The sequence below is a fragment of the Homo sapiens genome, chromosome 19 (genome assembly GCF_000001405.40).
Source record: "Homo sapiens chromosome 19, GRCh38.p14 Primary Assembly".
Taxonomy (NCBI): Eukaryota; Metazoa; Chordata; class Mammalia; order Primates; family Hominidae; genus Homo; species Homo sapiens.
The window spans coordinates 47,704,071-47,727,036 of NC_000019.10; the positions used below are offsets into that span (position 1 = coordinate 47,704,071).

The 22,966-nt window shown below is 52.6% G+C and overlaps 1 protein-coding gene across 1 annotated transcript in view, besides 2 other annotated features; it reads left to right on the forward strand.

Annotated features, from left to right (window-relative positions):
* Positions 9,229–9,328: a silencer, noted in NCBI's record as "silent region_10867". NCBI's record gives its function as "represses an Ori minimal core promoter by ATAC-STARR-seq in GM12878 lymphoblastoid cells {active_cell/tissue: GM12878}" and the evidence as "EXISTENCE:reporter gene assay evidence [ECO:0000049][PMID:35858748]".
* The window catches only part of EHD2 (EH domain containing 2), a 29,713-nt gene continuing 16,098 nt past the window's right edge, over positions 9,352–22,966 (forward strand). Inside the window, exons 1-4 of the mRNA NM_014601.4 lie at positions 9,352–9,468; positions 12,488–12,946; positions 14,439–14,536; positions 21,742–22,154. Coding sequence (NP_055416.2) covers positions 12,543–12,946; positions 14,439–14,536; positions 21,742–22,154 — 915 coding nt within the window. The 5' untranslated portion in view covers positions 9,352–9,468; positions 12,488–12,542. The remainder of the gene's footprint in view (positions 9,469–12,487; positions 12,947–14,438; positions 14,537–21,741; positions 22,155–22,966) is intronic.
* Positions 21,428–22,194: an enhancer, noted in NCBI's record as "H3K27ac-H3K4me1 hESC enhancer chr19:48228755-48229521 (GRCh37/hg19 assembly coordinates)". NCBI's record gives its function as "activates a minimal SCP1, AML or CMV promoter by ChIP-STARR-seq in naive H9 embryonic stem cells {active_cell/tissue: H9 hESC(naive)}" and the evidence as "EXISTENCE:reporter gene assay evidence [ECO:0000049][PMID:30033119]".

The window sequence follows — 22,966 nt, forward strand, 5'->3', positions numbered from 1 at the left end:
CACACATATATTTTATCTTTTCTCCAAAGGCACATCACAGCTTCTTGGTGCTTTAAGGTCACTAGACCGCACTTCAGCTGTACGCTTGGGCCCATTTTAAACAATGAGTCACCAACAAAAAGCACAAAAATGTGAAAAGCGTGGGACTAGATAAACCAAGAAAAGGACGCGTGTTTATGGTACGAGAGCCAAAACGAGGGCAGAATGTCGCCTTATTCAACCTCAGCTGGGAACGAACGTCTGTGTTGGGCAACTTGATATTTTGCTGCCGTGTGTGTGTTGAGAGTCTTGACTTGGGGGTTACAAAGAAGTTTTGATGAGCAGATAAATGCACAAATATGGCATTTGCAAATAGTGAGGGTCCACTGTAAATGTATACAGTGTCAGATGCCCATATAAAGAAGAATCAGGCCAGGCACGGTGGCTCACACCTGTAATCCCAGCACTTTGGGAGGCCAAATCGAGTGGGTCACCTGAGGTCAGGAGTTCGAGACCTGCCTGGCCAACATAGTGAAACCCCATCTCTACTTATAAAAAATATATATATATACAAAAATTAGCTGGCATGGTGGCACACGCCTGTAGTCCCAGCTTCTTCAGAGGCTGAGGCAGGAGAATCGCCTGAACCCAGGAGATGGAGGTTGCAGTGAGACGAGACTGACACTCCAGCCTGGGCAACAGAGTGAGACTCTATCCCCCGACCAACAAAAAAAAAGAAGAAAAAAAATCATGCTAGGTGTATTAGTCCCCTCAAGCTGCTATAACAAAATGCCCCAAATAGGGCAGCTTAAAACAACAGATATTTATTCTCCCACAGCCCTAGAGGCCTGAAGTCTGAAAACAAGGTGGCATCAGGGCCATGCCCACTCCAGAGGTGCTAGGGAAGGATCCTTCCTTGTCTCTGCCAGTTTCTGGTGGCCCCAGGTTCTCCTTGGCTTGTGGCTGAATCAGTCCAATCTCTGGCTGACTTCCCACTGTATCTCTTCTCTTCTAAGGGCATCAGTCATATTGGAGTTTTGCCCATCCTACCAGTATGCCCTTGTCATAACTTAATCATATCTGCAAAGATCCTGATTCCCTTTTTTTTTTCTTCTAGCTTTCTTTTTCTTTTTCTTTTTTTGAGACAGATGTCTTGCTCTGTCGCCCAGGCTGGAGTGCAGTGGCACGATCTCAGCTCACTGCAATCTCTGCCTCCAGGGTTTAAGTGATTCTCCTGCCTCAGCCTCCCGAGTAACTGGGACTACAAGCATGTGCCACCACGCCCAGCTGATTTTTTGTATTTTTAGTAGAGACGGAGTTTCACTGTGTTAGCCAGGATGGTCTCAATCTCCTGATGGCATGATCCACCGGCCTCAGCCTCCCAAAGTGCTGGTATTACAGGCGTGAACCACCGCGCCCAGCCCTTCTAGCTTTCTTCAGATCACAGACCCTGATTCCAAATAAAATTACATTCACAGGCACTAGGGTTAGGACATCAGCCTATATTTTGAGAGGACAGAACAACTCAATCCGTAATGCAGGGTAAGGAGGTGGGTGTCACAAGTGAGTGACAATTATCTGGGCTGGTGGTGTGGGGGTAAAAGAATTTACCAAGACAGTGGTAGGTTAAAAAAAAAAAAAAAAAAGCAGATTTATGGGCTCACGCCTGTAATCCCAACTCTTTGGGAGGTGGGCGGATCACTTGAGGTCAGGAGTTCAAGACCAGCCTGACTAACAGTGAAACCCCATCTCTACTAAAAATACAAAAATTGGCTAGGTGCAGTGGCTCACGCCTGTAATCCCAGCACTTCGGGAGGCTGAGGTGGGTAAATGACCTGAGGTCAGGAGCTTGAGACCAGCCTGGCCAACTTGGCAAAACCCTGCCTCTACTAAAAAATACAAAAATTAGCCAGGTGTGGCGGCAGGCACCTGTAATCCCAGCTACTCAGGAGGCTGAGGCAAGAGAATCACTTGAACCCAGGAGGCAGAGGTTGCAGTGAGTTGAGATCGCGTCATTGCACTCCAGCCTGGGTAACAAGAGTGAAACTCCATCGAAAAAAGGTAATAAATAAATAAAAATACAAAATTAGCAGGGCGTGGTGATGCACACCTGTAGTCTCAGCTACTTGGGAACTGGGAGGATCACTTCAGCCCAGGAGGCAGAGGTTACAGTGAGCCAAGACTGCACCACTGCACTCCAGCCTGGGCAACAGAGTGAGACTCCATCAAAAAAAAAAAAAAGGCAGATTTATGAAATAAAGTAGGAAAATATATTGCAAAGTTGCAATGGGCAACACAGCCAGGGAGAAGCTGACTGCAAGGAAACAAAGGCTTGCTGGGGGTTGTATAGGATGGAGTTGGTTTTTTCATTTGCTTTTTAGATAGAGTCTCGCTCTGTCACCCAGGCTGGAGTGCAGTGGCATGATTTCAGCTCACTGCAACCTCCGCATCTCGGGTTCAAGCAATTCTCCTGCCTCAGCCTCCTGAGTAGCTGGGATTACAGGCACCCATCACCATGCCCAGCTAATTTTTGTATTTTTAGTCGAGATGGGGTTTCACCATGTTGGCCAGGCTGGTCTCGAACTCCTGACCTCAAGTGATCCGTCTGCCTCTGCCTCCCAAAGTGCTGGGATTACAGGCGTGAGCCACCATGCCCGGCATATAGGAGAGTTCATGTTGTGTGCTGAAGAGGGCTTTGTGCAGTACTGATAATGCCAGGGTTACAGTGAGCTCACTTGCAGGTGTCTGGTGATACTTGGGCGCAGGAAGATTGAGTTATTTGTATAGGAGGGCTATGTCCTGGACAGTAAAGAAAGGCAGACCTGTAACTTAGCTGCTTTATCTTTTTGCTTTCCTGCATTCTCAGCAGCCTGACTCTCCCTAATTAGGACTCCGCAAGTGGGCAAGACAGCTGTCAGGCCCTAGTATGCCTTTGTGTGAACTAGAAAAGGGCACCCCTCTCTCCTGGGCCCAGAATTTGAAGAGCAGAGCATGAGCTGGGCTCCAGTCCCCTCTCACCCATTCAGTGAGTGCCTTGTGCAGTGAACAACCTGCCCAACTGCACATCAGGGCCCTCGGGATCAGGTGGGAAGGGAAAGATTCTTTGAGGAGGTGATATTTGAGCAGAGACATGCAGGAAAAGAGGGAGGAAGCCACAGGAGAGCTCTCAGGGAAGAGCATCCAAGGCAGAGGGAACCGCCAGTGCAAAGGCCCTGTGGCAGGAGCCTGCCTGGAGTGTCGAGGAACAGCGAAAAAGCCAATGCGGCTGCAGCCCATAAGTGATGGGGAGAGGTCTGGAGGTGAGGTCCGAGGGGGAACAAAGGGCACCTCATCGTGCGGGACCGTGTCCTCCATGGGGATGATTTCGCTGTTACACTGAGACGGGAGCTTCAGGAGGGCCCTGAGCGAACTTAGGTTCCCCAGCACCCTCTGGTGGCTGTTTGCGGGAATAGACGAGGGGTAAGGGTGGAAACCAAGCGCAGCGAGGAGGCAACTGCTGTGAGTCCAGGTGGGTGGTTGTGGCGGCTGGACCGGGGTGATGCACCCTGTTTCTCTGCAGGCCCCTGGAAGTGTTTTGTTTGTTTATTTTTTGGTTGTTTTTAGGACACAGGGTCTCGGCCCAGCACAGTGGCTTGCTCCTGTAATGCCAGCACTTTGGGAGGCAGAGGCAGGTGGATCACCTAAGGTCAGAAGTTCGAGACTAGCCTGGCCAAAATGTCGAAATCCGGTCTTTACAAAAAAAAAAAAAAAATTAGCTGGGTGTGGTGGTGTGCGTCTGTGATCCCAGCTACTGGGGAGGCTGAGATGAGAGGATTGCTTGAGCCCAGGAGATGGAGGTTGCAGTGAGCTGAGATTGCACCACTGCTTGCACTTCAGCCTGGGCGATACAGCCAGACCTTGTCTTAGAGAGAGAGAGAGGCAGACAGACAGACAGAGAGAGAGAAGGTCTCACTGGGTCACCCAGGCTGGAGTGCAGTGGTGCAATCACAGCTCACTAAAGCCTCGAACTCCTGGGCTCAAAGGATCCTCCTGGCACAGCCTTCTGAGTAGGTGCATACCACCTCACTTGGCTAATTTTTATTGTTTTATTTTTATTTTTTGTAGAGACAGGGGTCTCACTGGCCTATAGCAGTCCTCCCGCATCAGCCTCCCAAAGTGGTGGGATTACAGGCATGAGCCATGGCAATGGGCCCCCTGGGGTTGTATGTGGGTGGGAAATTGATATCTGGGGTCTCAGAGGGATGGACCATCCCCTTTCCTAGCTCTAGAACTACTCCCTCCACGTGTGAAATAAAGCACTATAGGAAAACAGCTGTTTCTTAAAAAAAAAAAAAATTTTGGCTGGGCGGGGTGGCTCATGCCTGTAATCCCAGCACTTTGGGAGGCCGAGGCAGGCGGATCATGAGGTCAGGAGATCGAGACCATCCTAGCTAACACAGTGAAACCCCGTCTCTACTAAAAATACAAAAAAATTAGCCGGGCGTGGTGACTGGTGCCTGTAGTCCCAGCTACTCAGGAGGCTGAGGCAGGAGAATGGTGTGAACCCGGGAGGCGGAGCTTGCAGTGAGCTGAGATCCCACCACTGCACTCCAGCCTAGGTGACAGAGTGAGACTCCGTCTCAAAAAATAGATAAATAATAAATAAATAGATAATTTTTTTTGAGATGGAGTCTCACTCTGTCGCCCAGGCTGGAGTGCAGTGGCACAATCTTGGCTCACTGCAACATCCGCCTCCTGAGTTCAAGCCATTCTCCTGCCTCAGCCTCCCAAGTAGCTGGAATTACAGGCATGCGCCACCACGCCTGGCTAATTTTTTTGTACTTTTGGTAGAGACAGGGTTTCACCATATTGCCCAGGCTGGTCTTAAACTCCTGGGCTCAAGCGATCCACCCTCCTCGGCCTCCCAAAGTGCTGGGATTACAAGTGTGAGCCACTTCGCCCAGCCTAAATGGCTGTTTCTTAACATCCTTGGATCACAAAACTCTCGGAGAGACTCTCCTGAAAGACCCCTCCTGATTACTCACAAGGACTCGTCCACAATTTCCACGGGCTCCGGGACTCAGTTCTGCAAGGCTGACTGCCTGCAGGCGAGCGGAAGAACAGAACAGCAGTGACCAACCTTTACTAAACAGGGAACCGCATGGGTTAGCATATCTGGTCCTCACAGCAGCCCCAGCGTGGGAACTAATAGGCCCAGCTTGCAGGTGAGGAAACTGAGGCCCCAAAGATGTAGTACATGGCAGACTGGGCTGTGAGCCAACCTGCCTCAATGCATTCATTAGAGAGAGCTGGCTGTGGGGCCAGTGAGCGATGAGTGTATACAATCGCTGAAAATATCCACAACTGGGCTGGGTGCGGTGGCTCATGCCTGTAATCCTAGCACTTTGGGAGGCCAAGGCGGGTGAATTGCCTGAGCTCAGGAGTTCAAGACCAGCCTGGGCAACATGGTGAAACCCCGTCTCTACTAAAAAATACAAAAAATTAGCCAGGCTTGTTGGTAGGCACCTGTGGTCCCAGCTACTGGGGAGGCTGAGGCATGAGAATCGCTTTAACCTGGGAGGCAGAGGTTGCAGGGAGCTGAGATCGCACCACTGCACTCCAGCCTGGGAAAGAGTGTGAGACTCTGTTTCCAAAAAAAAAAAAGAAAAAAGAAAAAAAAATCCACAACTGCAAACCGATGAACGCATCAGTGATTCCTCTGGGTGGCGGGGACCCAGGTCCTGCTGATGACGCTGTGCTTTGCTGCTAACATTTGTGGTTGACAGAAACTCTGAATTTTAGTGAAAACTCCAGCTGTCTTTTTCCCCCCACATCTAAGTTCACAGATCCTCCGGAATTTTTTTTTTTTTTTTTTTTTTTGAGACGGAGTCTCACTCTGTCGCCCAGGCTGGAGTGCAGTGGTGCGATCTCGGCTCACTGCAAGCTCCGCCTGCCGGGTTCACGCCATTCTCCTGCCTCAGCCCCCAGAGTAGCTGGGACTATAGGCGCCCACCACCACGCCCGGCTAATTTTTTTGTATTTTTAGTAGAGACAGGGTTTCACCGTGTTAGCCAGGATGGTCTCAATCTCCTGATCTTGTGATCCGCCCGCCTCGGCCTCCCAAAGTGCTGAGATTACGGGTGTGAGCCACCGCGCCCAGCCGATCCTCCAGAATGTTTTGCAACAGGTTGAGAAGCCCTGGGGTAGAAGTGAAACAAGACTCTCCCATCAGACAACTCTGGCTCAACTCCGAGTTCTTCCACACCTTGGCAGGCCAAACTCTACTTTCTTTTTTTTTGAGACAGGGTCTTCTTCTTTCACCCAGGCTGGAATGCAGTGGCGCGATCACAGCTCACTGCAGCCTCGGCCTCCTAGGCTCCAGTAATCCTCCCACCTCAGCCTCCCGAGTAGCTGGGACCACAGGTGTGCACCACCACACTCGGCTAATTTTTAGATTTTTTTTATCTTGCAGAGATGGGGTCTCACTATGTTGCCCAGGCTGGTCTTGAACTCCTAGCCTCAAGCAATCCCCTGCCCCAGCCTCCCAAAGTGCTGGGATTACAGGCATGAGCCACTGCACCCAGCTCTGAGACTTTACTTCCTTGTATTTCAACTTTCCCATCTGAGACATAGCAATAATAATAATAATAACAATAATAACAGGACTTGCCCTCCTGGGGGAAGGGAGATGATTTAGGTGATGCTTTTGGAACAGGGCCTGTCTCCTAGCAGTAACAACATTAACGTAAGTTATCATTAAGCTCCAGACCTTTTATATATTATATATATAATAGTAATATTATAGTAACATGTTATTGGCTGGGCCTGCTGGTGCATGCCTGTAATCCCAGCTACTCGAGAGGCTGAGGCACGAGAATCGCTTGAGCCCGGGAGGCAGAGGTTGCAGTGAGCCAAGATCGCGCCACTGCACTCCAGCCTGGGTGACAGAGCAAGAGTCTACCTCCAAAAAAAATAGAAAAAATAAATAAAATGTTATAATTATAATAATATAATATATAATATCAGTTTTATTGAGATATAATTCAGAAGCCATGCAATTCACCCATTTAAAGCATACAATTCAGTTGGGCATGGTGGCTCATGCCTATAATCCCAGCACTTTGGGAAGCTGAGGTGGGTAAATCACTTGACGTCAGAAGTTCGAGACCAGCCAGGCCAACATGGTGAAACCCCTTGTCTGCTAAAAACACAAAATTAGGCCGGGCGCAGTGGCTCATGCCTATAATCCCAGCACTTTGGGAGGCCGAGGCGGGCAGATCACGAGGTCAGGAGATCGAGACCATCTTGGCTAACATGGTGAAACCCTGTCTGTACTAAAAATACAAAAAATTAGCCGGGAATGGTGGTGGGCGCCGTAATCCCAGCTACTCGGGAGGCTGGGGCAGGAGAATGGCGTGAACCCGGGAGGCGGAGCTTGCAGTGAGCCGAGATCGTGCCACTGCACTCCAGCCTGTGCGACAGAGCGAGACTCTGACTCAAAAAAACAAAACAAAACAAAATTAGCCAAGTGTGGTGGCATGCACCTGTAATCCCAGCTACTGGGGAGATTGAGGGAGGAGAATAGTTTGAACCCAGGAGGCGGAGGTTGCAGTGAGCTGAGATCGTGCCACTGCACTCCAGCCTGGGCGATAGAGTAAGACTGTCTCAAAAACAAAAACAAAAACCAAAACCCCAAAACTCCTGTTTCTTGGAGATATGATGAGGGTTCGATGAGCTAATACATGCATGCAAAGAGCTCAGAGCGGTGCCTGCACATAGGAATGGCTCAGTCAACATTAGGGATTGTTTCTACAAATGTTTACTGAGCCCCTGCAGGGAGTTGGGCATTGTGCAAAGCCCTCACGGGGCTCATGTTCTCAGGGCAAAGACAGTCCCTTAGGCAGAGAAATGTGGAATATGCAGAGTGGTTGGGAGGGCTGTGGAGAAAAATAGGGCAGTGATAAGAGGTAGAGAGTGGGTTCTACCTTAGCCAGGGTGATCCTGGAGGACTTCTCTGAGGAGGTGACATTTGAGCAGGGACCTGAAGGAGGGGAGAGAGTGAGGCATTCAGATCCCTATGGGGAAAGTACTCCATGGAGAGGAGTCAGCAAGTGCAAAGGCCATGAACTTGGAGGGTTGGGGGTGTGTCTGAGGAATGGTGAGGAGGCCACGGCGGTTGGAGCCGCCTGAGGAAGGGGGACAGGGGAGATGTAGGTGGATCATGCTAGGCTTTGTGGGCCTTGGTGTGGACTTCGGCTTTTACTCTGAGAGAGAGGAGAGCCAGGGAGGGTTGTCAGCTGAGAAGTTTCATCAACTCCCTTAAGTTTTAATATTAATATTATATTTACTTATTTATTTGCGATGGATTCTCACTCTGTCACCCAGGCTGGAGTGCAGTGGCGTGATCTTGGCTCACTGCAACCTCTGCCTCCTGGGTTCCAGTGATTCTGGAACTTGGGAGCCTCAGCCTCCCAAGTAGCTAGGACTACAGGTGCGTGCCTGCATCCAGCTAATTTTTGTTTATTTATTTATTTTTGAGATGGAGTCTTGCTCTGTCCCCAGGCTGGAGTGCAGTGGCGCAATCACTGCAAGCTCCACCTCCCCTGTGTTTAAGTGATTCTCCTGCCTCAGCTTCCCAAATAGCTGGGACTACAGGCGCCCGCCACCACGCCCAGCTAATTTTTTTGTATTTTTAGTAGAGATGGGTTTGCACCATGTTGGCCAGGCTGGTCTTGAACTCCTGACCTCAAGTGATCCACCCGCCTCGGCCTCCCAAAGTGCTGGGATTACAGGCGTGAGCCACCGCGCCCCGTCCTATTATTTTTTTTAGAGGTGAGGTCTCGCTCTGTCACCCAGGCTGGAGTGCAGTGGCACAATCATAGCTCACTGCAGCCTTGACCTCCTGGGTTCAAGCTATCCTCCCACCTCAGCTTTCCAAGTTGCTGGGATCACAGGTGTGCACCCCTGTGCCTGGCTAAATTATTTTATTATTTATTATTATTTTTAATAGACATGGGGTCTCGCTATATTGTCCAGGCTGGTCTTGGACTCCTGGCCTCAAGCAATCTTCCCACCCTGGCCTTCCAAAGTGTTAGGGTTACAGGCGTGAGCCAGGGCGCCCGACCTGTTATTGTTACTATTATTGCTGCTGCTGTTGTGATTCCCGTGTTAAGAAGAGAGACAGACTGGGGAGCAGCCCAACGCTGGAGGTGGAGGCGGAATTCGAACCCCAGGCTGGACGCTGGAGCTCTCGCCCGCCGTGCTAAGGCGTCTTCCCCACTCCCCACAAGGGGGCGCCAGAGGCCGGGCGCCCGGTTTTGAGGGGGGCGCCTCGTCCCGCCCCTCCCTCCTGTCCTCCCTCCCGTCCTCCCCGCTCCGGGCCCCACCCGGCTCAGACGGCTCCGGACGGGACCGCGAGCACAGGCCGCTCCGCGGGCGCTTCGGATCCTCGCGGGACCCCACCCTCTCCCAGCCTGCCCAGCCCGCTGCAGCCGCCAGCGCGCCCCGTCGGTGAGTGCTCCCAGCACCGCAGCTGTCGCCTCCCGACCCCCGCCCAAGCCTGCCCTGGTTCCTCATGCCTGACCCCTGCTCCCTGCCACCCTGTCCCCAGTCTGTAACGGTCTCCCCAGGTGTCCCCCAGTCTTCACCAGTCCCCCCAGTCTGTAACCATGTCCCCCACTCTTCCCACTCCTCCCACTCTTCCTCCCACTCTTCCTCCAGTCTTTCGCAGCCTCTCACACTCCCCCAGTCTCCTCCATCCTCCCCCAACACCCCTCCCTATCCCCTGGGCTAGAAGAGATCCTCTCTGCAGGGTCTCCCTCCACGCCCTCATCCATATCAGCTAACTTGGTCCCTCCAGCCACTCAAGAGCCCCTCTCCTGCCTCACCAGCTCCATCGGCCACCGCTGATAGCATTCTCCCCAGCTCTCTCTCAGGGCCCTCCCTGCCTGGGACACCGCCCAGAGCCCTCTCCCTCTGCCCACATCCCAGATCCTGCCTCTCTTTTCCATTCTTGCCACTCCTTTACGAACTCCTTTTGCTTTTATCTCCCCTACTCCCTGGCCACCCCTTTTAAGTCTCATGATTTTATGGATTTTAGCATATTTGATTTGCAGTTATTTTGATGCTCAAATTGCCCCATGTTTGGCCACTGGGCACCCCTGCAAGCTGGGTCCTCTGTCCCTGTAACATGCCCTATCGGCCTTTGAGCACTTCCTCACCTTCTGACCCAGGCTCACTTGTTCTTCCCTGCCCCCGCCCTGGAATCCACCATTTCTCTAAGGAGTCCCAGGTTCTTTTAGTGGGGAATGGTATTTAGAGACTCCCATCTCACCAAAAGTTGATTCTTTGAAAAGATCAGTAAAATCATAAGCATCAACGGGGAGCAATCGTTTTTGTTTTTCTTTTTTAAAAAAAGCAAATACCCACACCTGTGGCTGATATCGGGAATGAAAGAGGGGACATCACTACAGATCCTACGGTGAATAAAAGGCTAGTAAGGGAAGATAGAGAACACAGTCTGGGTGCTGGAGGTGCTCATTGCTCCTGGGTTGGTCATGGCTAACCTCCCTAACTCAGATCTTTAGACCTATAATAGGATTGCAACCTCTGAGGTCAGGCTGCCTGTGTTTGAGTCCCAGCTTGAGCATTTTCCAGCTAAGTGATCTTGGGTAATTTATTGCTGTCTTCCTGAGCCTCCTTTGCCTTGTTAAAAAAGCAGAGATGAGCCGGCATGGTGGCACACACCTGTAATCCCAACAATTTGGGAGGCTGAGGTGGGTGGATCACCTGAGCTCAGGAGTTCGAGACCACCCAGGGCAACATGGTGAAACCCATCTCTACTAAAAATACAAAAAAAAATTAACTGGGTGTGGTGGTGCATGCCTCTAGTCCCAACTACTTGGGAGGCTGAGGCAGGAGAATCCCTTGAGCCCCAGAGGTGAAGGCTGCAGTGAGCTGAGATTGTATCACTGCACTCCAGCTTGGGCTACAGAGTGAGACTCCATCTCCAAATAAATAAATAAATAAATAAATAAATAAATAAATAAATAAAAAGAAAGAAAAGCAAAGCAAAGCAGGGATGATAATAGACCTACTTTACAGGGTTATAAATGTTAAGTGAGTTAGTACAGTACCTGGCATGCAGTGATCATAAATGTTGCATTATTTTTCTTGTTAACACCCAACAGCCCTCATGACCTGGGTGCACCCAGGCAACCTTCTCAGCTCCATTTCTCACCCCTCCTCTTTGTGCCCCTGTGTCTGGCCACCTACCCAGATGTTTCATGGCTCCCAGTACACCAGGACCTTTCACATCCCCAGACCTTTGCACGCACCGTCCTCTCTGCCTAAATCCCCTTGTCTTGCCTGCTCTTCATGGAGCAGCTCAAAAGTCAACCCTGCCCTGAGTCTTACTGGTGCTGTGGTCTGTTTCTCATGCCCTCCTCTGGATGTCTGGCATGTGTCTGGGTCCTTACTGGGGGCCCTGGGTGGGTAGGGGATGATCTCTGGCTCATTTCTGGGTCCACAGTGCCTGAAGCATGGAGTGAGTGATTTCAGTGAAAAGGTGTCAAATGATGGAAGGGAGAAGGGAGGAAGAAATGAATGAAGCGATTAAGGAATCCGTTTCTTCCAGGCAGCTTCTGCATCCTTCGCCTTGTCCATCTCTTGGTCTTCCACTACCACCATCAATCCCCCTTCTTCAACCATGTCACCATTAATCTTTCTCCTCCTTCAGCTGGTTCGCTACGATCTCCCTATTTTTTTTGAAATGGAGTGTCGCTCTGTCAAGTGCAGTGGCGGGATCTCGGCTCACTGCAACCTCTGCCTCCTGGGTTCAAGTGATTCTCCTGTCTCAGCCTCCCAAGTAGCTGGGACTACAGGTGGCCACCACCAGGCCTGGCTAATTTTTTGTATGTTTAGTAGAGACAGGATTGCACCATATTGGTCAGGCTGGTCTCAAACTCCTGACCTCAGGTGGTCCACCTGCCTCAGCCTCCCGAAGTGCTGGGATTACAGGCATGAGCCACTGTGCCTGGCCTTTTTTTTTTTTTTTTTTTTTGAGATGGGGTCTTACTCTGTAGCCCAGGCTGGAGTGCAGCGGCATGATCATAGCTCACTGCAGCCTGCAGCCTTGAACTCCTGAGCTCAAGCAATCCTCCTGCCTCAGCCTCCCAAAGTGCTAGGACTACAGGCATGCACCACCATGCCCAGCTAATTATTTTTTTTGTAGAGATGGGGGTCTCACTATTTTACCCAGGCTGGTCTTCAACTACTGACCTCAAGCAATCCTCCTACCTCAGCCTCCCAAAATACTAGGATTACAGGTGTGAGCCATCGCGCCTGGCCCAATTCCATTCTTCCTCCTGCCACCTGCCATCCATGCTCTGTGACCACATATTTGTGACCACAAATATCTGTGCTCCTCCTCCTCCTCCACCCATCCTGTCACCCAGACAGTCTACACTCAGACCCCTTTCTTCCTCCTTGGCTGGGCCGCCTATGCTCATGCCCTCTCCCCCTCCCACAGGCAGCTCTCCATCTGCACGTCTCTCCGTGAACCCCGTGAGCGGTGTGCAGCCACCATGTTCAGCTGGCTGAAGCGGGGCGGGGCACGGGGCCAGCAGCCCGAGGCCATCCGCACGGTGACCTCGGCCCTCAAGGAGCTGTACCGCACGAAGCTGCTGCCGCTGGAGGAGCACTACCGCTTTGGGGCCTTCCACTCGCCGGCCCTGGAGGACGCAGACTTCGACGGCAAGCCCATGGTGCTGGTGGCCGGCCAGTACAGCACGGGCAAGACCAGCTTCATCCAGTACCTGCTGGAGCAGGAGGTGCCCGGCTCCCGCGTGGGGCCTGAGCCCACCACCGACTGCTTTGTGGCCGTCATGCACGGGGACACTGAGGGCACCGTGCCCGGCAACGCCCTCGTCGTGGACCCGGACAAGCCCTTCCGCAAACTCAACCCTTTCGGAAACACCTTCCTCAACAGGTGTGCCAGCCGCGAGCCCAGGGCGCATCTTTCTTTTTCTTTTTGTTAAGACAGAGTTTCCGCTCTTTTCGCCCAGGCTGGAGTGCAGTGGTGCGATCTCAGCTCATGGCAACCTCCACCTCCTGGGTTCAAGCAATTCTCCTGCCTCAGCCACCTGAGTAGCTGGGATTACAGACACCCACCACCACGCCAAGCGAGTTTTTGTATTATTAGGTACAGTTGGGGTTTCACCATGTTGGCCTGGCTGGTCTTGAACTCCTGGCCTCAAGTGATCCACCTGCCTCAGCCTCCCAAAGTGTTGGGATTACACGAGTGAGCCACTGCGCCCGGCCCTGGGGGCACGTCTTTCTGTCCCAGGGGTGCATCTTGCTGTCCCCCTTCTCTGTCCCCTCCCTGACTGTGTTTCCCTCCTTCTCAGCCCCAATTCCCTTCTCTCTACCCAGTTCTTCCCATGCCTGTCTCTGCTCTCTTATCCAGGGGAGCACCTAGGCTAGTGAAGTCAGTATGCCTGGTTCAAATCCCGGCCAGCTGGGTGGCCTCAGGCAAATGACTTGACCTCTCTGCCCTTCTTGTAGCCTCATCTGCAAAAATGTGGATCAATCACCTTGGGCCAGGCCCGGTGGCTCACACCTGTAATCCCAGCGCTTTGGGAGGCCAAGGCAGGTAGATCACTTGAGGCCAGGAGTTGGAGACCAGCCTGGCCAACATGGTGAAACCCCGTCTCTACCAAAAACACAAAAAATTAGCTGGGTGTGGTGGTTCGTGCCTGTAATCCCAGCTACTCGGGAGGCTGAGGCAGAAGAATTGCTTAAACCTGGGAGGCGGAGGTTGCAGTAAGCCGAGACCGTGCCACTGCATTCCAGCCTGGGCAACAGAGCGAGACTCTGTCTAAAAAAAAAAAAAAAAAAAAAGGGATCAGGATCACCATGGTCTCTATGCCATGGTTGCTGTGAGGACTTGGAATAGCACCTGGTGGCCGGGCGCAGTGTCTCACGCCTGTAATCCCAGCACTTTGGGAGGCTGAGGCGGGCAGATCACTTGAGGCCAGAAGTTTGAGACCAGCCTGGCCAACATGGTGAAACCCCGTCTCTACTAAAAATACAAAAATTAGCTGGGTGAGGTGGTGCCCACCTGTAATCCCAGCTACTCGGGAGGCTTAGGCAGGAGAATCACTTGAACTCGGGAGGCGGAGGTTGCAGTGAGCTGAGATAGTGCCATTGCACTCCAGCCTGGGCGACAACAGCAAAACTCTGTCTCAAAAAAAAAAAAAAAAAAAAGAACAGTACCTGGCACAAATTAAGTGCTCACTGAACATGAGCTGTGGCTGGTTATAACTCTGAGATGGTCCTGGTTGCCCTTTTTCTGTCCGGTGTCTTTCTTCGCCCATAAAGGATGCTTTGCCATGCGGTCCCGAGTCCCTCTTCATGTTTTCTTCGTGTTTTCCCTCCTTCTGTCCTTCCCTGTTGACCCCTGACCCTCCCTCTGCCCCCAGGTTCATGTGTGCCCAGCTCCCTAATCAGGTCCTGGAGAGCATCAGCATCATCGACACCCCGGGTATCCTGTCGGGTGCCAAGCAGAGAGTGAGCCGCGGTGAGTGGGGCCAGACCCTGGGGTCTGAGGGAGGAGGGGCTGGGGCCTGGACTCCTGGGTCTGAGGGAGGAGGGACTGGGCCCGGACTCCTGGGTCTGAGGGAGGAGGGGCTGGGGTCTGGACTCCTGGGTCTGAGGGAGGAGGGGCTGGGGTCTGGACTCCTGGATCTGAGGGAGGAGGGGCTGGGCCCAGACTCCTGGGTCTGAGGGAGGAGGGGCTGGGGGCCTGGACTCCTGGGTCTGAGGGAGGAGGGACTGGGGTCTGGACTCCTGGGTCTGAGGGAGGAGGAGCTGGGGCCTGGACTCCTGGGTCTGAGGGAGAGGGGCTGGGCCTGGACTCCTGGGTCTGAGGTAGGAGGGCCTGGGGTCTGGACTCCTGGGTCTAGAGGAGGAGGGGCGGTGTCTCCGCTGGGACTTGGGCCTGTGTCCTCTGGCCCTGGCTGGCGGGGCAGCCGCAGGGAGCTAGTGGAAGCTGTGACTGCTCCATGCTGGCTCGCATTGATGGGTGGGGGAGGTGTGTGGGTGACCACGTGGTGGGAGCGGGCAGGAGCCGCACGTCTGGGCAGGCAGGAAGGATGGGAAGGGAGAGATGAAGAGGGACAGGGATTCCGAGGCAGTGAGACAGCGACGCAGGGAGACACAAGGCCTGGAGATGAGGCAGAGCCTGGGCAGGGGAGGCAGAGCCCGGGCAGGGGAGGCTGGGCCCTGCGAGCTCCTGGCTCTGCGTCTGGGCCACAGATGGGGCCGAGAAGGGGATGGGAAGGGAATCTGGGTGGGGGCCAAGGCCAGGCCTGGAATTTATAAACAGCTGTGCAAGGAGAGTGGCGGGGGGTGGATTCCAGCCGGGGCCTCCGGGCGTGCTGAGCCCTCACCACCCCTGCCCAGCCCAGCTCAGCATCTGTGGTCCCCCAGCCCCACAGATCTGTGTCCCCCACCCCCCATGGCCTTGGAGGCCCAGAACTGGGGCAAAGGAGGCTGCTATGTGGGGCAGAGAGGATGGGAGGCCCTGGCGAGAAGGCTGGGCCTGGGGTGGGGTGGGGACGCTGGGGGTGACCATGTCTCTGGCTGCCGTCCAGAGGCCCCACGGGAGAAAGGCAGGAGGCAGCTGCAGAAACGATTGGGAGGACACGCTGCCAGCTGAGGGGGAGGAATTCCTGGGGCTCCCACCCCAGGGCCTGGACCTGGGACAGCGGGAGGGAGAGGCTCTCTCAGCCAGGGCAGGGGTGCCGGCAGGGGGGTTCAAAGGCCATGGGTGGTGGGGGAGTGGGGAACGGGGTCTCCCTCCCTGGCCTTGAGGATAGAGGAAGAGGAGGAGAGAGTGTCCAGCTGTTGGTGTGTATATGTGTGTGTGTGTGTGTGTGTGTGACTTTGTGTATATCTTGGGAAAGTGTGTCATTATGAGTGTACTCCTGGGTGTGGTGGTTCCACGCATTTGTGTATAGCAGTGGACGTGCCTCATTGTGGCCATGGCTCTGAGGTTGTATGACTTTGAATTGTGTACATGCCTCTGTGTGTGTGTGTGTGTGTGCGCATGTGCCTATAATTGTGGCTGGAAGACTTTGTTTTGTTTGTTTTTGAGACAGAGTCTCACTCTGTCGCCCAGGCTGGAGTGGAGTGGCGCGATCTCGGCTCACTGCAACCTTTGCCTCCCGAGTTCAAGTGGCTCTGCTGCCTCAGCCTCCTGAGTAGCCAGGACTACAGGCGCCCGCCGCACCCATGTCCGGCTAATTTTTGTATTTTTTTTTAGTAGAGACGGGATTTCACCATGTTGGCCAGGCTGGTCTCGAACTCCTGACCTCAGGTGATCCTCCTGCCTTGGCCTCCCAAAGTGCTGGGATTACAGGTGTGAGCCACCATGCCCGGCCTGCTGGATGACTTTGTGTGACTCTGAAGGGCTGTGTAGGGCTATGAGAGACTTTGTGGGATAGTGTGCAACTGATTCTGTCCCTATATACTGTTATATTGTGACGTGTGTGTGTGAGAGAGACAGACATAAAGGGCAACTTTTGTCTATGTGTCTATGTGGATTTAGTGTGTATCATTGTAGGTGTGAGTCTGACATTGTGTGCCTGTGTGTGAGATGGTCTAGGCATATATGTGTATCTGGGCTGTGGGCTGTGTGTGACTTTGTGTGGCTGCATGGGGCGGTCAGGGCTGCGGGGATTTTGTGGGACTGTGTGTGACTACCTGTGATTGTATCTCCGGATACAGTTGTGTGCTTCTGTGTGGTGTTGTGTATGTGAGAATGTGTGTGTGTGCAGGAGTGCATCTTTTGTGTAACTGTGTGTGATTACGTCTGTGTGTGTGCCTTTGGATTTGGGAGGGCATGGGAGGTTATGTGTGTGCGACTGTGTCTGTGTGGGTGTGCATGCATGTGTGCCTCTGTACCTGTGTGTTCGTGCAGGTCTCTGTGTCTATGCCGTGTGTGCATCTCACATTATCTTTGTGATTGTGTGACCACAAACATCTGTGTAGGTCCCAGATTGTGAACACGGGTATGTCTGGGAGCCTGCATCTTGTAGTAATTGGCTATGTTTGTGTCTGGATGTGCTACTGGGGGTGTGTGTGTGTGTGTGTGTGTGTGTGTGTGTATGCGAGCTCATGTGTGTGGCTGCCTCTGCATGTAAGATGTGTGAACACACGCATGTGTGATTGTAGCATAGTAAAGCCCTCAAATCTGGGCTCTGCTACTTTTATTTATTTATGTTATGCTACTTTTTTTTTTTTGAGATGGAGTCTTACTCTGTCTTCCAGGCTGGAGTGCAGTGGTGCGACCTCGGCTCGCTGCAACCTCCGCCTCCTGGGTTCAAGCAATTCTCTGCCTCAGCCTCCGGAGTAGCTGGGATTACAGGCGCCTGCCACCATGCCCGGCTAATTTTTTTGTATTTTTAGTAGAGACGGGGTTTCGCCGTCTTAGCCAGGCAGGTCTTGAACTCCTGACCTCGTGATCCACCCACCTCGGCCTCCCAAAGTGTTGGGATTACAGGCATGAGCCACCGCCCAGCCTATTTTCTGCTGCTTTTAAACTGTGGGACCTTAGGCAAGCCACTTAACCTCTCTTTGCCTCAGTTTTCTTACCTGCAAAATGGGAATAATGGGCTGGGCGCAGTGGTTCACGCCTGTAATCCCAGCAGTTTGAGAGGCCAAGGTGGGCAGATTACCTGAGGTCAGGAGTTCGAGACCAGCCTGGGCAACATGGTGAAACCCTGTCTATACTAAAAATACAAAAATTAGCTGGGTGTGGTGGTGCTTGCCTGTAATCCCACCTACTCGGGAGGCTGAGGCAGAAGAATTGCTTGAACCCAGGAGGTGGAGGTTGCAGTGAGCCGAGCTCATGACACTGCACTCCAGCCTGGGCGATAGAGTGAGACTTGGTCTCAAAAATAAACAAACAGAAAAACAAAACACACACACACACACACACACACACACACACACACACACACACACACTGGGAATAATAATACTAGCGGCCTCATAGTTGTCCTAAAGGTTAAATTAGTTAAAACATACAAAGCACTTAGAAGGTGCACACTTGTGTGTGCACACAGTAGGCGCTATGGAAGTGCCAACAATGCCTGTTTTCGCTGGGTGAGTGCCGTTGTGGGCCCAAGGTTCCTTTTTGCCACGTCTCCCATCCCACACTGACTCAACCTCTCTCCCTTCTTCCCTCCCCGCCCCATGAGACACACTTTCCGAATCTGGGCCAGTATGTGTGTTTGTGGAGACACCGGGAGGGAGGGGGGGCTCCAGTTGCTGTCCCTCCAGTGACTTGGCCCTTCCTCCCCCAAAACAACGGCCCCCAACCCCATCCCGGTCCCTGCGTTGCCCGCAAGGAGGCTGCTTCCTCTCAGGCAGGATGGGTGCAAGCACCAGCTCCCCGGAGGAGCATAGGGGCCCATGGGACTCCTCTTCTGTCGCCTCTTACCTGTGTGTCTTGAGTAAGTCCCCTAACTTCTCTCTCTTTTTTTTTTTTTGAGACGGAGTTTCGCTCTTGTTGCCCAGGCTGGAGTGCAGTGGCAGGACCTTGGCTCACTGCAACCTCCGCCTCCTGGGTTCAAGTGATTCTCCTGCCTCAGCCTCCCGAATAGCTGGGATTACAGGTGCCCACCACCACACCCAGCTAATTTTTTTGTATTTTTAGTGGAGACGGGGTTTCACTATGTTGGTCAGGCTGGTCTCGAACTCCTGACCTCAGGTGATCCACCCGCCTCAGCCTCCCAAAGTGCTGGGATTGCAGGCGTGAGCCACCACGCCTAGCTAGTCCCCTAACTTCTCTGTGCCTCAGTTTCCTCATCTGGAAAATGGGGTCAGAACAGTGCCCACCTCCTGGGGTTGTTGTGAAGAGTCACTGAGTGAGCTCTAGCTGGAGGGCATGAAGTCAGTAAATCAGGGCTAGCTCCTTGTTCTGCCAGTTAACTCTTCGTCCTCCGGGTTCCCACTCTGCCTTCCCTCCTCCTGGAAGTCCTCCTTGACCCCCAGGCTGGGGGTTGGGTCAGGCACTGGCCCTGGGCTCCCACAGCTCCCTGGATCCCCCTGCCCACCCTGGGCTGACCACTCAGGGGCCAGGTCTGTGTCCCCAGTGGGCTGAGAGATGTAAGGACAAAGCTGAAACTGCCTCAGCCTCCACACACACAGCAGGGACCACAGAGGGTGCTTCCCAGTGGGTGACATCACCATGACTTGCTGAGTGCTTACCGTACATCCAGCACTGTTTTTAAAAAAACAGTTTCATTGAGGATTAACGTACACGCCATAAAAACTCAACCATTATGGCCGGGCTCAGTGGCTCATGCCTGTAATCTCAGCACTTTGGGAGGCTGAGGTGGGCGGATAATGAGGTCAAGAGATGGAGACCATCCTGGCCAACATGGTGAAAACCCATCTCTACTAAAAATACAGAAATTAGCTGGGTGTGGTGGCACCTGTAATCCCAGCTACTCGGGAGGCTGAGGCAGGAGAATTGCTTGAACTCGAGAGGCAGAGGTTGCAGTGACCTGAGATCGCGCCACTGCACTCCAACCTGGGCGACAGCGAGACTCCGTCTGAAAAAAAAAAAAAAAAAAAAGCTCAACCATTTTTTTTTTTAAAGAGACAAGGTCTTGCTCTGTCTGCAGGCTGGAGTGCAATGACGCAATCATGGCTCACTGCAGCCTCCAACTGCTGGGCTCAAGTGATCCTCTTGCTTCCTCCTCCTGAGTAGCTGAGACTACAGATGCATGCCAACATGTGTGGATAATTTTTTATTTTATTTTTTTCTGTAGAGACAGGGTCTTGTCATCTTGCCCAGGCTGGTCTCAAACTCCCAGGCTCAAGCGATCCTCCTGCCTCTACCTCCCAAAGTGCTGGGATTACAGGTGTGAGCCACTCTGTCTGGCCACTTCCATCATTTTTAAATGTACAGTTCAATGCCAGGCATTATTTTAAGCTCTTTATATATATTAGCTCATTTATATTCTTTTAATCTTCACAACAGTCTTTTTTTTTTTTTGAGACAGAGTCTCACTCTGTCGCCCAGACTGGAGTGCAGTGATGCTATCTCGGCTCACTGCAACCTCTGCCTCCCAGGCTCAAGCGATTCTCGTGCCTCAGCCTTCTGAATATGTGGGACCATAGGCATGAGCCACCAACACCGGGCTAATTTTTTTGTATTTTTAGGGCTAGGCTGGTCTTGAACTCCTGGCCTCAATTGATCTGCCCACTTCAGCCTCCCAAAGTGCTGGGATTACAGGTTTGAGCCATCACACCTGGCTTCACAACAGTCCTATGATTTGCATTTTACAGAAAAGAAAACACAAGTTCAGAGAGGTTAAGCTACTTGCCTAAGGTCACACAGTGGATGGGGGCAGAGGAGGGACTCAACTCCAGGTCTTCCAGACAGCTAAGTCAGGGGGTCTCAATCGCTTCTCTCTGCTCTCCTCAGCATTGCTTGTTGGTGAATAAATGAGTGAAGAAGCAAAGGTGAGAATGAGTGGATGAAGGAGTGAATGAGGAAATGAATGGTGAAAGGAATGAATGAATGAGCATGGGAACCCATGGCTGGGATGGGTGCTTCATAAGAGCAAGAATCTTGTCTGTGTGTTCTCTGCGGTATCCCAGGCTCCCAGGACAGGGCTTGGCACACATGAGACTCTCAGTAAGTATTGCTAAATAAATGCAAAATATTTAACTTCTCAGCCTGGCCAACATGGTGAAACCCCGTCTCTACTAAAAATACAGAAATTAGCCAGGGTGGTGGTGCATGCCTGTAATCCCAGCTACTCGGGAGGCTGAGGCAGGAGAATTGCTTGAACCTGGGAGGTGGAGGTGGAGGTTGCAGTGAGCCACATTCATGCCACTGCACTCCAGCCTGGGCGACAGAGTGAGACTCTGTCTCAAAAAAAAAAAAAAAAAAAAAAAAAAAAAAAAAAAAAATTATCATCTGCTATGGCAAGAGCACAGCTATCCAGCATGAACTCTAGTTGCTGGATCGTGGGGAGATACAACAGGTCCTGGGGAGGAGCTGGGGTGATAGAGGCATGTGGCAGGCTTGGGGGTTCCATAGAAGCACAGGGGGATCTCTTAGCAAACATGTCAGTATTTTTAACAACCTATATGTACATACCGACGCACACCTGTAATAACTGCTTAATGAATGAGCAAATGAAAAAATGGAGGCCGTGAGGCTGGGCGCGGTGGCCCACGCCTGTAATCCCAACATTTTGGAGGCTGAGGCAGGAGGATCAGTTGAGCTCAGGAGTTTGAGACTAGCCCGGCAGCCCGGGTAACATAGTGAGATCCCATCTCTACTCAAAAAAAAAAAAAAAAAAAAAAATTAGCCAGGTGTGGTGATGCGCGCCTGCAGTCCCAGCTACTAGGGAGGCTGAGGTGGGAGGATCACCTGAGCTCCGGGAAGCAGAGGTTGCAGGGAGGCGTGATCCCGCCATTGTGCTCGAGCAAAGGAAAAGGGGGATGATTGCCCCCTGTAGCCAGATGGCTTGAGGGGCTGGGGCCAGAGCGAGGGGGGAAATTCTGGGCACTGGAGAGCCAGAGCAGTAGTGCCCACTGAGGGCCTTGGCTATTTTGCCCAGACAGGATTTGGACAGCCAACAACGTGAACATCTTTACAGTCCAATATGCAAGAGAATGGGATACTACTGAGAATGGCTGGAGGGTGGGGGTCTGATTTCTGCCCCTTGCGCCCCTGTCTCTCCACTCCCACTCCAGGCTACGACTTCCCGGCCGTGCTGCGCTGGTTCGCGGAGCGCGTGGACCTCATCATCCTGCTCTTTGATGCGCACAAGCTGGAGATCTCGGACGAGTTCTCAGAGGCCATCGGCGCGTTGCGGGGCCATGAGGACAAGATCCGCGTGGTGCTCAACAAGGCCGACATGGTGGAGACGCAGCAGCTGATGCGCGTCTACGGCGCGCTCATGTGGGCGCTGGGCAAGGTGGTGGGCACGCCCGAGGTGCTGCGCGTCTACATCGGCTCCTTCTGGTCCCAGCCCCTCCTCGTGCCCGACAACCGGCGCCTCTTCGAGCTGGAGGAGCAGGACCTCTTCCGCGACATCCAGGGCCTGCCCCGGCACGCAGCCTTGCGCAAGCTCAACGACCTGGTGAAGAGGGCCCGGCTGGTGCGAGTGAGTAGTCCTGAGGGCTGGGCGCGCATTCTTGGAGGAGGTTTCCTCGGTCCTCTCCTACCAGTGCTGTGAGTCCCTGACTTATCAGGGCCCAGGTTAGTTAGTTCTCTTGAAGTTGGGTCATTCTGGCACAGAGTGAAGCCGGGAGGAAGAACTGTATGGAGAGACTCATTCCTCTGCCTTTGGATTTCTGTGTCAACTCCGTGTCACCCTGGCTTCTCTGTCCTGGTATTTCTATTTCTTCTTCCTCTTCCTCCTCCTCCTCCTTCTCTTCTTCTTCTTCCTCTTTTTCTTCTTTCTTCTCTCTTTCCTCCTCCTCCTCTTCTTCTCCCTCCTCCTCCTCCTTCTTCTCTTTCTTCCTCCCCTTCCTCCTTCCTTCCTTCCTTCCTCTGTTCCTCTCTCCCTTCCTCCCTCCTCCCTTCCTCCTTCCTTACATCCTCTTTCGTTCCCTCTTCTTCCTTCTTTTTTAAGAGATGGAGTCTCGCTCTCTTGCCCTGGCTGGAATGCAATGATGCAATCACAGCTCACCACAGCCTTGAACTCCTGGGCTCAAGTGATCCTTCCTCCTTAGCCTGCCCCAAGTAGCTGAGACCACAGGCACGTGTCACCACGCCCAGCTAATTTTTTATTTTTTGTAGAGTCGAGGTCTTACTGTGTTGCCCAGGCTGGTCTTGAACTCCTGCCCTCAAGTGATCCTCCCCTTTTGGCCTCCCAAAGTGCTGGGATTGCAGGCATGAGTATGTTGAATTTTTGAACTTCCTATAAAATATAGACAGACAAATACTCATTATTCTACCCTCTTTATTTTTTGA